The sequence below is a fragment of the Homo sapiens genome, chromosome 1, assembly GCF_000001405.40.
Source record: "Homo sapiens chromosome 1, GRCh38.p14 Primary Assembly".
NCBI lineage: Eukaryota > Metazoa > Chordata > Mammalia > Primates > Hominidae > Homo > Homo sapiens.
Window position 1 is genome coordinate 7,757,320 of NC_000001.11, and position 12,627 is coordinate 7,769,946.

The window sequence follows — 12,627 nt, forward strand, 5'->3', positions numbered from 1 at the left end:
TGAATGGCTATGGCTGTGTTCTAATACAACTTTATTTATACAAATAGATACTGGACTAGATTTTGGCCCACAGGTTGTAGTATGCCAACTTGATGATAGAAGAATTTAGTTTTTATAAGTTCTTCTTAATAATGACCTTAACCCTAGATTTAAAAGCTTTAAAAGGGCCGGCCATGGTGGCTCATGCCTGTAATCCCAACACTTTGGGAGGCCGAGGCAGCCGGATCACTTGAGGTCAGGAGTTCGAGACCAGCCTGGCCAACGTGGTCAAACCGTGTCTCTACTAAAAATACAAAAATTAGCTGGCCATGGTGGCGTGTGCAGGAGAATCTGTTGAACCCGGGAGGCAGAGGTTGCAGTGAGCCAAGATTGTGCCACTGCACTCCAGCCTGGGCGACAGAGCAAGACTCTGTCTCAAAAGAAAAAAAAGAGAAAAGCCTAAAAAGCCTTAAAATTTTAAAGATTTAAAGGCTCATTTATTTAAAACTATAAATAATTGCTAAAGGAAAAATTTGTTTTTTGGGGGAAAAAAGCAGCTATACTCTTACGTAAACTTAACTAATTAATCCTCTCTAGACTTAAGGAATTGTTCTCAATTAAAATATTTCAGGTCCCTTGTGATAGAGCTGGCTCGGAGACGTTTTTTTTGAAATGTAAGAAAAAAAGAGGACAAAAATCTCCATTTCTCCCTCTATTCCCTCTCACCCTCTGCATATATATAGATAATCTTTCTTTCCATTTTAAAAAACCTCCAAGAGAATAGATGCATGCCCTAGTGTTCAGTTCAACTACAACTTGTAGTATCATGCATGTTATATGCAATTAATATCACCTGCTGCAAGGACAACATTTTTACGGGAGGTGGTTGCTTATGCGTTTTTGAAACTTGTTAGTTTCTGGTATGTTAATGACCGTTTTTAAGAGCACATTTTCAGAAGGTGCTTTTCAATGCAAACCAGAATCCCAACCTCAATTTCTTTAATGCCTGCTGCATTCTATTGTGAACTCCTAAAACTCCTACTCATGCATGGAAAGTTGGAATCTCATGACACCCCTTATGCCTCACGACATCTATGCAAGTTTGAGAGATAGGGGCTGAGAAGGTTCCTTCTATCCTGGTGATATTTAGCTAACTCTGTGAACCAAGGAATAGCGTATATATGGCTTTGTATGATTGCCAATAAGATCTTCTCTCCCTCGTTCTTCCATCGGAGAAGTCACAGTGGCACTCCCTCTAACAATCCCCAAGTTGAAATTAGTCTTGGGAGGCAGAGCATTCTCTGAGGAAGATTTATAGTCGTGGAAATTATGTTAAGATAAAATACTTATTTTTGGGCCGGGCGCGGTGGCTTACGCCTGTAATCCCAGCACTTTGGGAGGCCGAGGCGGGCGGATCACGAGGTCAGGAGATCGAGACCATCCTGGCTAACATGGTGAAACCCCGTCTCTACTGAAAATACAAAAAATTAGCCGGTTGCGGTGGCGGGCGCCTGTAGTCCCAGCTACTCGGGAGGCTGAGGCAGGAGAATGGTGTGAATCCGGGAGGCGGAGCTTGCAGTGAGCCGAGATAGCGCCACTGCAGTCCGGCCTGGGCAAAAGAGCGAGACTCTGTCTCAAAAAAAAAAAAAAAAAAAAAGATAATATACTTATTTTGTTAATTTGTAAAGTATTCCATATTTAAAACATGGTTTATACATTGAAAAATAATATTTTCCCAGCTACTGGAGGCTGAGGTGGGAGGATTGCTTGAGCCCAGAAGGTCGAGGCTACAGTGTGTCATGATAGTGCCACTGTACTCCAGCCTGCACAACAGAGTGAGACCCTGTCCCAGAAAAGAAAAGAAAAGAAAAGAAAAATAATATCTGGAAACTTACAGAATTAAATTTTATGGGACAGTATTTGTTAAACACTAATACTGACCCAAACTCCTACGTCAGTGGAGCAGGGGGAGATCTAAAAAGGCAGAATTAAGACACGACAGACAAATTCCAGCAGCAGAGCAATCAGAAAATACCACTTGTGTCTTGAAATGTTTAGTCTTTGCTTGGGGAAGGCTAAGAAAAAGCACCAAATATTTTTCACTGAGTACAGCTCACTTTTATCCCCCTTTCCTTCAGGCCTACCTCTTAATTTATCCAGTAACTTAAAGTGAAATTAACAAACTCTCGATACTGTCATCAGGGTTTTTGGTTGTTTTGTTTTTTGTTTTTCTGTTTTTTGTCTTGGACACAATAGCTGTGTTTAGGAGAGAACTTTTGTTCTACACAAAGAGATTATTTAAATTAACAAAAGTGATTTCTCAGCAAATGACTGAAGGATTTTTAAGGTTTAAGAAACTTTTAAAGTACATATGCTGAAAAGATACTTTCATTTGGATTTTGAGTATATCTAACAGGATATTATTCAGTTGCATAGAGAAAAACCAAGATACCTCATATGTTAGCAGGTAGTTCAGTTACATAACAGATTTATCCTCAAGGTATTGAGACTTGCTTGACCTAAAAAAATAAAAACTAAAATGCCTGTTTTTCTAGACAGAAAATGTCTTTCCACTTCTCTAAGACATTTATTTTTCGTGGATAGTAGAAAGTGTTCTCATAGATGAGTGACACCGCTCTTTGAAAAGCAATTTCTAGACAAATTCCTCCTTTCCCGATACGAGACACTATTTCTGTGAGAAGGCTTTATAAACTGTAACAATCACTATGGGTGTTATTAAAAGCAGTGGGAATGCTAGTATTTAATTAACCTATTTCTTATAAACTGCTGGCCTAGTCACCTGTGTTCAGTAAAGGCAGGTGCAGTTATTTTACTGGAACAAAACCTTAATTGGAGGAAGAAGAAATAACACTTTTTAGTCACATATTTTCAAACAACATATTTTCTTTTTATTTGAGAACCGGGTTTCCAAACACTTTGCCAGAAGCTGGTAAGTAGGGGTCTCAACAGAGCAGCTCTGCTGTGTGCTTCTGAGAACAGCCCCGGGTCATAGCTGCACTGGGTCATTACCAAGTTCTGAAAATTACGCTTACACTTTTGGCTGTTTTATGTACACTTTTATCCAAGGGACAGTTCTCTAACAATGCGGGGAAGTGTACTGAGAAGTAAACAGTGCTCTAGGGTCAACAAATGTGTTCTCACACTTCCGTAGCTCAATTTGGCATGAGGCATAGTTTCTAAGTGGCCCGATGTGTTCATGAGAAGTAAGACGTGAATGTGGGATGTGTCATCATGGATGTATTTTAAATCTTCAAAGTAATTTTGTCTCACTTGCCTCTTTTAGGAAATGAATATTTTTGGAACACAGTGGTGTGTGTTAAATTGCAGACAACATGCTCTGTGTCATTCTTATTGGGCCTCTCTGTCTTTTTTGTTTTGCAATCCAAATGAGATTTCTGGAAAATGGCAAGATCTCTCTTTTCCTAAATTCCCCACAAGCTATTGCAGCTCTCAAAGCAACAGGTAATAATCAGAAAGCCGCATCCGCTGCCCTGTCTATTTTTGACGTCCAGCATTGCGAGAATATTCCCGCTGAACTCCACTGACTCATGAGACATTTCTCTGGCTGAGCATCACTGAGTAGATGTAATGAAGCAGCTTTGCCTTACGCTTTACCCATGGAGCCATTGTTTGCTACAAGTTTCTGAAGCAGGCCTACTTCATTGATTCATAAATGATCATTGGACGTCTGATGGAAGTAAACCCTGTGGGCTTTTGCTGGCTTTCAGTGCTGTTGCTTACGACATCACTTCAGTACATTACGATGCAACTTTTTGGGAAGGGGGAATTGAGACTACAATGGTATCCCAGAGTGGTGATTATTCTCAGCCTAGAATGCTTGGGGAAATACTGGGATTGTCTTTAATGTTAATAGCTGAATGGTAACAGGTCAGTCTTGCTATTCTAATTACTGTGAGTCTGAGCCAATAAGAGTTCTACTTTGCAAGTTACTGATAGGAGTCAGAAATGTGGCCGCACAGCTCTCCTGAGGGCAGCACTGGCGCTGTGGGAACTGTAGCTTCTGTCCTGCATTGCCTCTATGAGCTCAGGGAAGACTGCTTTGCCTGTCTTCTGTGTAAGTGAATTTAGAAGTAAGTGCAGTTATAATTTTTTTTTTTTAGATAGCCTGGACATTTTTAGATTCAGTTCTTTCTTAGCCCTGAATGAGTCGAACAGTTGTAATTCCTTAAGAGAACTGAGCACTCAGTAACCCTTAGCTAAGTGTGTGTAACATAACAAAAGTTTATCATGCACCTGTGTTCCAAGTTCTATAGATATGGTGACCACAGGTCCTGGATTTTCAAGTCTAATTCCAATTTCAAAAATTCTTGTCTATATTTACCAAGTTTGTATACTGAAAAATTTGCTTACAACATAGGTAATGTTAATGAAACCAGTTCAGTCCATTGATTTTGGTTTCAGTCTACAAAATTGAATTTTTTTCCTTCCAATGAATTTTTCAGTTGTTTTTATATAATATGAACACAGCATTTGTAAGACAGATTAGTAACAGACAGATAGAAAACGATCTAATTCACTTTTTTTTTTTAAGACTAACAAGCAGCTCATGCCTGTAATCCCAGCACTTTTGGGGGCTGAGGCAGGAGAATTGCTTGAGGCCAGGAGTTCAAGACCAGCTTGGGCAATATATTTAGATCCCCTGTCTAGACAAAAAAATTTTAAAATTAGCCAGGTATGGTGATGTGTACCTGTAGTCTAGCTACTCAGGAGGCTAAGGCTAAGGATTGCTTGAGCCCAGAAATTCCAGGCCACAGTGAGCTATGACTGTTCCACTGCACTCCAGTCTGGTCAACCCTCTCTCTAAATAAGTGGAGAAAATAAAAGCTAACAAGCAGGAATAATTATTATTACAAAAGCAGCACATACTAATTGTAGTGAATTCTGGAAATACAAATAACCAAGGAGAATCACCCAGAGATAATAATGGTTAAACTTCTATTTTGTATCCTTCTCATTGGTAAAGATTTATTTTTAACATCTGCCTGAATAATCATTCATGTCCTTAACTAATAACAAGGTGATCATAAATTTAGCCATTTGAAACACTCTGATTTGAAACATCTATTTCTTAAAATTTGTTTTAAAATTCTAGTATATGTTATTCTAAATCACTTTGGTGATATAATTGTTTTCTGTTTCTTTGGAGGCAATATAACATTCAAACATTATTTTATCCAGTTGACATTTGATTTAAAACAAAACAAAAATTAAGCCCCACTGTCTCATCCTAATAATCTACTCTCAAGTAACATAAAACTTCATTTATGATTTCACTAGGGCAGATAGTAAGCCTCTCAATTTCATGTTAACTTTCAGAGGTAAGTTAACATCTATATGGTCCATAAATTGCAAATTGGAGAATAAAGCTAAAAATCTCCCTTGATTCTTACACACATTCTTTTCACACATTTTAGGATTCTAAATAATTGTGTTGTAAAATCAATAAGTACATTTTATGTGAGGGTCTTCCCCCACCAAGAATGTTTTTTATTAATAAAATCAATATAGTGTCTTATAAAAGATGACACCTTAGAATTGAGAAAATGTAATTGTTGTTAATTTCATCTCATACCATGGAAATTTTCCAAATGCATGTTTCTTATAAAGTCTTTTAGAAAAAACAATAAAATATGATTTTTAAAATACTTCTGTGTTATCCTGGGAGATATTTTTAGAGACAGTGAAATGTTGAAACTATAGGTTTGGAAGTCAGACAAACCTGGACTCAATTCCCTGTTCTGCCATTTATTAACTGTGTGAATTGGGGCAGATTGCTTAATTCCTATAAATCTCAGATTCTGCATTTACAAATTGGAGCTAATGGCAGTGTTGTGAGGACTACATAAAGTAACAGATATTAAGTAACCTGTATAGCTATTGGAATTTAATACTTTTTCTCTCTCATTTTCCCCTTTTTTTTCTAATTCCTCCTTGAACGACTTTCTGTAAAAAATGTTTGTGCCATTTAAGTCATTTTGATGTCATGTATAATGCTAGCATACTATGATAACTTTATCATGAAGCTAAGAACTAAATTCTCCACTTTAACTCAGGAGTTGTGGAAGCCTGGAAAATATATCTGAAAATTGCATTGTTCTCATTTTTCCTGCGTAGACATTGTACGTGGACATGCACCTCTCCTTAACCTCGTGGTCTGTGAGGCCATCACTAATTTCATAGAGTATTTACTTGACAACTTTAAAACCTTATGAAAACTTAACTTTTTAATTAGTTCTGAAAGAAACTGAAAAAACTGCAAAAACAAATGTGACCATTTTAACTAAAAGAAAAATGTTTAGGGTATACCTCCCCTGACCAGCTGATTATAGATTCTTTGGTATGAAACCACATAAAACATTTCTGGCTTATAATTCACTCTCCTTTTTATTTCATCTCAATGATGAACTTAATATTTCTAAAGCATTCCTGTTCATTCGAGAAAAATTGTGAATGTATAACATCGTCGTGTTTATGCTATCAGATTTTGAGTTCAGAATTCCTCAAATTATAGACATCTCATCAGTGATGGAGTCACTGTCGCATATTTGTGAATGAGGTCTGTGCTAGTGCAGAAAGAAAATGTAGCATTTGAAGTGGCATGCACACGCTGCAGAAATTCAGCAGATAGGTCTGCACAAGTACAGATATTGCATGTCCAGAAGCGAAGTTGGCATCAGTGCATGCCTTGCATTTCCAGCCAAAGGGATGTTAGTATAGATATTGCATGTTTAAAAATTGAACAGACTATAGCATGTTTCAATTTTTAAAAAGCCATTTATTTATCAAGTATGCATGTCCAAAATTAGGGACCTATAGTGATGTACAATTCTATACTGTAATATGACCCAAATTAATCCATGGTATATTTAATTATAAAATTTAAAACTAAATGATATTTGGATCTACTCATGAACATAGCAATGTATTCTAACTGTGCCTGTTAACAAAAAAAGATTCAACAGTTTTAGAGATACACTGTTTGTCACTGTCATTTATAAAAATCACACTAGGACCAAGCTAGGGCTTGGTATATGTAGTAAGTAAATCAGACAAGTAAGCAAGTTTTCAAAGATTATAATTCTTTTTAGTATTACTGATAACATCATAAAGCTTTTCTTCTAAAAGAGAGCATCTTCTCTATGAAGAGATTGTATCAACTTTGCAGAATACTCAGAAATGATTCTGCTTGGAAGTGGTAAATATAAATGTTTTCTTAAATTGCTATTATACCATATGTGCCATTCCAGACTCTCAACCTATACAATATAGCAATAACTGATTACTGGTTTTTTCACACTATTTTCTTTCTGCCTGAGTATTATCAGGTTTTACTTGAGGCTGGGCCTGGTAGGCTCATGCCTGTAATTCAAGCACTTTGGGAGGCTGAGGTGGGCAGATCACTTGAGCTCAGGAGTTCAAGACCAGCCTGGCCAACATGGCGAAACATCATCTCTACTAAAAATACAAAAATTAGCTAGGCGTGGTGGTGCGTGCCTGTAATCCCAGCTACTCGGGAGGCTGAGGCAGGAGAATCACTTGAACCCAGGAGGCAGAAGTTGCAGTGAGCCGAGATCGCACCACTGCACTCCAGCCTGGGCAACAGAGTTAGACTCCGTCTCAAAAAAAAAAAAAAGTTTTACTTTACTGGTATAACTTAAGATAATAGGAGAGCCTCTTAGAGAATCAGAAAAATATATTTGAGATTATAGCCCTCTGTATAGCACCACGACAAATCCACCTTTTCCTGATCATGCTGTTGCAGTAGAGTATGGTGTCCTAAGAAACTGTTGCTCCTATTTGGCTAAATCAGCCTCTCACATCCATTTTTGGGAAACAAATGTTATTATATGGTATGCAGTACCACAAACTGTGACTTACACCACATGCATTGCCTTACATTTGATCATTCTGCTATTAAGGCAGGTTCGTAATTGTCAGTGTAGAGAAATACTCTTACAGCAGACAGCAGCTTCCCCAGCACCCCATCTACATCAGGTGGCCATATCCAAAAAAACTGAGACTGATTTTTATATTAAAAATTACAGATTGGCAGTGATAATTAATAAGTAATTTGCTGATGTGAACTTTCCATGACTCAGTCTATAACAATGTTATTTAAATTTGTTTACTACAGTATGTTTGATGAATAGAACGAAGTACCTTATCAGTATCGCACCCTATGGCTGTCCATCTGGGATCACTGGGAGGAGGAACCTAAATGTCTTTTTAAGTTATAATGTGGAATGGGAGGAAAGTAAGGAATTATAAAAATCAAAGTCTCCACAAAACCTGTGTGAAGGAGTAGAGTTGTACAGATGTATGATTAGGTTCAAGAAAGCTAACAATCTTGAGTCTATGAACAAAGCAGTAGTAGCTTAATCCCTAGATATATTAAAAGCTAAATAGGCCGGGCGCGGTGGCTCACGCCTGTAATCCCAGCACTTTGGGAGGCTGGGTGGGCGGATCACGAGGTCAGGAGATCGAAACCATCCTGGCTAACATGGTGAAACCCTGTCTCTACTAAAAAATACAGAAAATTAGCCGGGTGTGGTGGCGGGCGCCTGTAGTCCCAGCTACTCGGGAGGCTAAGGCAGGAGAATTGCGTGAACCCGGGAGGCGGAGGTTGCAGTGAGCCGAGATGGTGCCACTGCACTCCAGCCTGGGTAACACAGCGAGATTCTGTCTCAAAAAAAAAAAAAAAAAAACTAAATAAATGCATGTACAGTTTCCCTAATTTACATCATACAGAGTGATAGGACATTAATGGTGGTCCACGAGACTAAAAAGAAAGTTATTTGAATAGTTAAATTTTTATTAAGATAAACATGTGATTGTCACACTTGATTTAATACATTAGACTTTGATTTTGCTCTATTCTTAGAGCGCTCGATGTAGAGCAAAGCTTTAGAATGATTTTTTTTTCACCTTAAGTAGGGTCACGTCTTTCCTTTGAATATTTTCCCCAACAATTTCACAGGAGTTTCTTTTGCCGTCAATCCTCAAAACGGTTTTAGTCTTGGCTTTTCAGTTCAGAGGGAGTGGTAATACCCCTTTCCTTTACTTGGTCACAATTCACTATAGAGTTATCGCCTGCTGTTTTGTTTTGTTTCTCTTCCAGAGTGAAAGAATTGAAAAAGGCCAAGGAACTTGAAGACATACAGCAGCATCCCTTAGCAATGTGACATTGCTTTTCAGACTGTTTTCATTTCTGTTTTTAGCAGAGACATGCAACAACAACACACACGCACACACGCACACACACACACGTACACACACATACAAAATCCCTCTGCAGTTTTGGGGAGATCAGCTGCAGGATTTTAACAGGAATGTTTTGGTCATTGCATTTGCACTTTCATGGACAACTTTTAATTTGATCAGCAAGACATCTTGGAACTCAATCTTCTGTTGGATCACGGGAAATCAAGACACCCAGGAGGAATTGAAAGAGGCTTCCTCTTCTCAGGAAGAAGCCATTTCCTTCTCATATAGGGCTGTATTCAAACATCGTGTGGAACTGTACAAATATTTATACCAAAAATATAGATAAGAAAAGGTGGGGCTATACTAGCAACAAAAAAAGAATGCTGTTCCTGCACCTGCCGGTTATTTCCAAGAAGCTGAATCTTTGGGACTGATTCTCAGTGGAGGGCTTAGATCATACAAAAATCTTTATTGGGTCCGTGTGTTCTCATTTCCTTCACTGTTTATTTTTGTTTGTTTGTTTGTTTGTTTTAATCTCTACAGCACATTTAATGCAACTTTTGAAATCTGCAGGTTTTTAATGTCTTGTGGAAATTTGCAGAGGGGCAGGTGTGTGGTAAACGGGTAATGCATGGGAAATAATGAGAAGCAGCTCACAGAGTTTAAACTATTTTCTTGTCCCCACCACCTTCCAAGAACCTGCGAGGGTAGTAATCATCTTGTCCCCTTTTTCATGTTCAGCACTTTAATTTTTTTGCCTTACTTTCATGTGCAATGAGAATTACTTAAGAATTGGTAACGCATGTAGCCTTTTTTAGTAACCTTGGAAGCTGTAGTAATTCTAAGGAATCATGAACCTTGCCTGGACATTTGCCACCTAAACGATCAGTGTGGTGCTGCGTTCTGGCCAGTAAATTCCATGTTTTTGGCTATATCTCATCCAAACTGAGCAGTTTCTGTGTATATATAGAAGGTAGAAATGAAAAGTGAGAAAATATTTGAAAGGGATTATATTAATTGCTAAATATTTTATTCACAAAGGTCAATAACATGGCAAGATAAAATTATTTGTATAGTTTTGTCTGAATGAGCGAGAAAAATGTGGATGTACTGTTTGTATATATTGTATATATTAAAACAGAGATATGTGCATGAAATCAAGAAAAAAGAAATGAACAAAAGCAAAGCATTAGTGGCTATGGTCTGTAAAATGAAACAAAAAAACTTTATTTCACTATAAGAGTACTTTATTTTAAATGTTCTTTAGGAGAACATTTTGCTAAAGCATGACTAAACTGCAAAAAAAAAAAAAGAGCTACTGTATTTAGACTTAGGAAAAAAGGCAGAGTAACATTACTTAAAAAAAAAAGGATATGTTTACATTTAATTTTGGCTACCAGGAGTTTAGTTTATTTTATTTAAAATTTTTTTGCCAATGGTGCCAAGTAATGTGAATGCTAATACTGCTTAAGAAAATTAAGTTACTTTTGCAAAACAGATAATCATAAGATGAATCAGTATGTAGCTTAACACCATCCACTCACTCCAACAAAGAACACTTAGAATGATAAAAAAAAAAAAAAAAAACCTGACAAAAGAAATAGTATGAAAAGTAGAAAAATGTCACGTTTCCATATCTCCTGCTGGAAATCAGAAAATATAATAAAATTGCACAAAAAAAAAAATGAAAAAGATGCAGACTGGTCTTTTAGAGACGGCATGGTATATTACTATTTCCACATAATGAGGAGCCAAAGAAATCTGATGTTTTTAACAATTAAACTGCTAATGTTAAATTGAGAGAATAAAGTTCGTATTTGCTGATGCCAGTTTAAAATTCCCAGGTTACGTCTGAGGATCAGTTGGTGTAAAGCTGAGATGTTTTTTCTTGGTTCTGGCTGCCAACTGTGAGTTAAAACTCAAGGCTTGTTGTGAAGCCTAAAAATATTCACAAATAAGCTTTTAAACTGGTGTCTTTGGAAGGAAGGTAGATACAAAAAGATTGTGGTAAAAACTGGGGTCAGTGCTCTTGGTGCCTTTTCTATAATTGTACTTGTTTTTTAATTACTTCCTTTCACTGCCAACCTCGAATTACTGTACAGTATATGTCTTTCTGCTTGTGATCAGCTTTGACAACAGTGACAGCCCCACAACTAGTAGCCACCTGTACATTTGTAAACTGACCTGACTCCATTTTGTTTTTAAATGTGTGGGTTATGTTGCAGCTGTTGCAGTCCCCCAGATACCTATTATTTTACACAATTTGACCTATAGGAGGACACTGAGTAATTTACAAACACAACTGCATTCATAAATGGGAATAGAACGTGAAAGCCAGCTCTTTCAGAATATCCTCTATTAATACTGAATTTAGATATCTTTATTCCATTTATTATGGTACAAATAACTGATGTTTTAACCAGAGTAATGACCTCAGTGGATTTGCTTTAACCCTCACATTTTTTTTTTAATGTTTCACATGTTACATTATTAGCTGAATACGTTAGAAAATGACAGATGGTAGAGACTTCCATAGAATTAAGAGGGTTCTCATGGAGGGGATAGGAAGTAGGTTTAAAGCCTACCAGTGTAACCTACCAGTACAACTGTGAATCCTAGGCGAGGCAAAAATGCACTTCCACTGAAACGAAGCATTTCTGACCGCTTTTTCTTGGTTATGAATCTTAATTTCGAATATAAGATGATAGGTAAGCGCAGCTTTCTTGGATAATCTGAATTCCCAAGTGCCAGGAGTAGGATTTCATTATAAAATTAATAGCTAATCTTATTCTATCTCCTGAAGATTTAATTGCTATTGTTACCCATTCGAAATCAGCTGTACTGTGTGAACGAAATAAAGACAATAATACGAACCCCTCTCTGGCTGCACGGTCGCTTATGGCAGTTCCACACAGTAGTTGGCGCCCAATGGGGGGTCCCTGAGACTTGCATGTAAAACTAGTCTAGATGTCTTCTTTTTTTGTAAGTTTTATTTTTGTAATTGTGCATGTAAAGCATCATTGAATCAATGGATCTGTTGAAGAACTCAGCTGCTGGAAACCATGCAAAATGTTTTGAATTGCCCTTAAAATATGGAAAATGTTTTCTGAATGCTTTATATTCTTTCTGCTGTAAATTAAAAATGAAGAAAATTTCCCCATACTACGTGTGTGTTTTGCTTTAATATGACCGGGTAGTGAAATCTAAGGTGATGGGCACATGTTTCAAAACATATGTAATAATGTCAAGGATTTCCTTCTGATCCAGATGTAATGTTTTGACATTGAATGTTACATTGTTTCAGCTAGGTCCATGAAAGAAAAAATGTCTTCCAGCCACCATTCAGAGAGCTTTTCCCCTATCTTTCCAGGCACCTCTCAACATGTCAATCATTTGTGTAAG

General features: G+C 37.2%; 1 protein-coding gene across 42 annotated transcripts in view; it reads left to right on the plus strand.

Annotated features, from left to right (window-relative positions):
- CAMTA1 (calmodulin binding transcription activator 1) overlaps window positions 1–12,387 on the plus strand; it is a 984,253-nt gene extending 971,866 nt beyond the window's left edge. For 40 of the 42 annotated variants that reach the window (XM_011541084.3, XM_011541083.3, NM_015215.4 and 37 more), the window contains one exon: window positions 9,140–12,387. In XM_011541084.3, coding sequence (XP_011539386.1) covers window positions 9,140–9,172 — 33 coding nt within the window. In that variant the 3' untranslated portion in view covers window positions 9,173–12,387. Of the gene's footprint in view, window positions 1–3,283; window positions 5,667–9,139 lie in introns of those variants that run through there. The other 2 variants (XM_017000774.3, XM_047415993.1) reach the window with 1 other exon arrangement.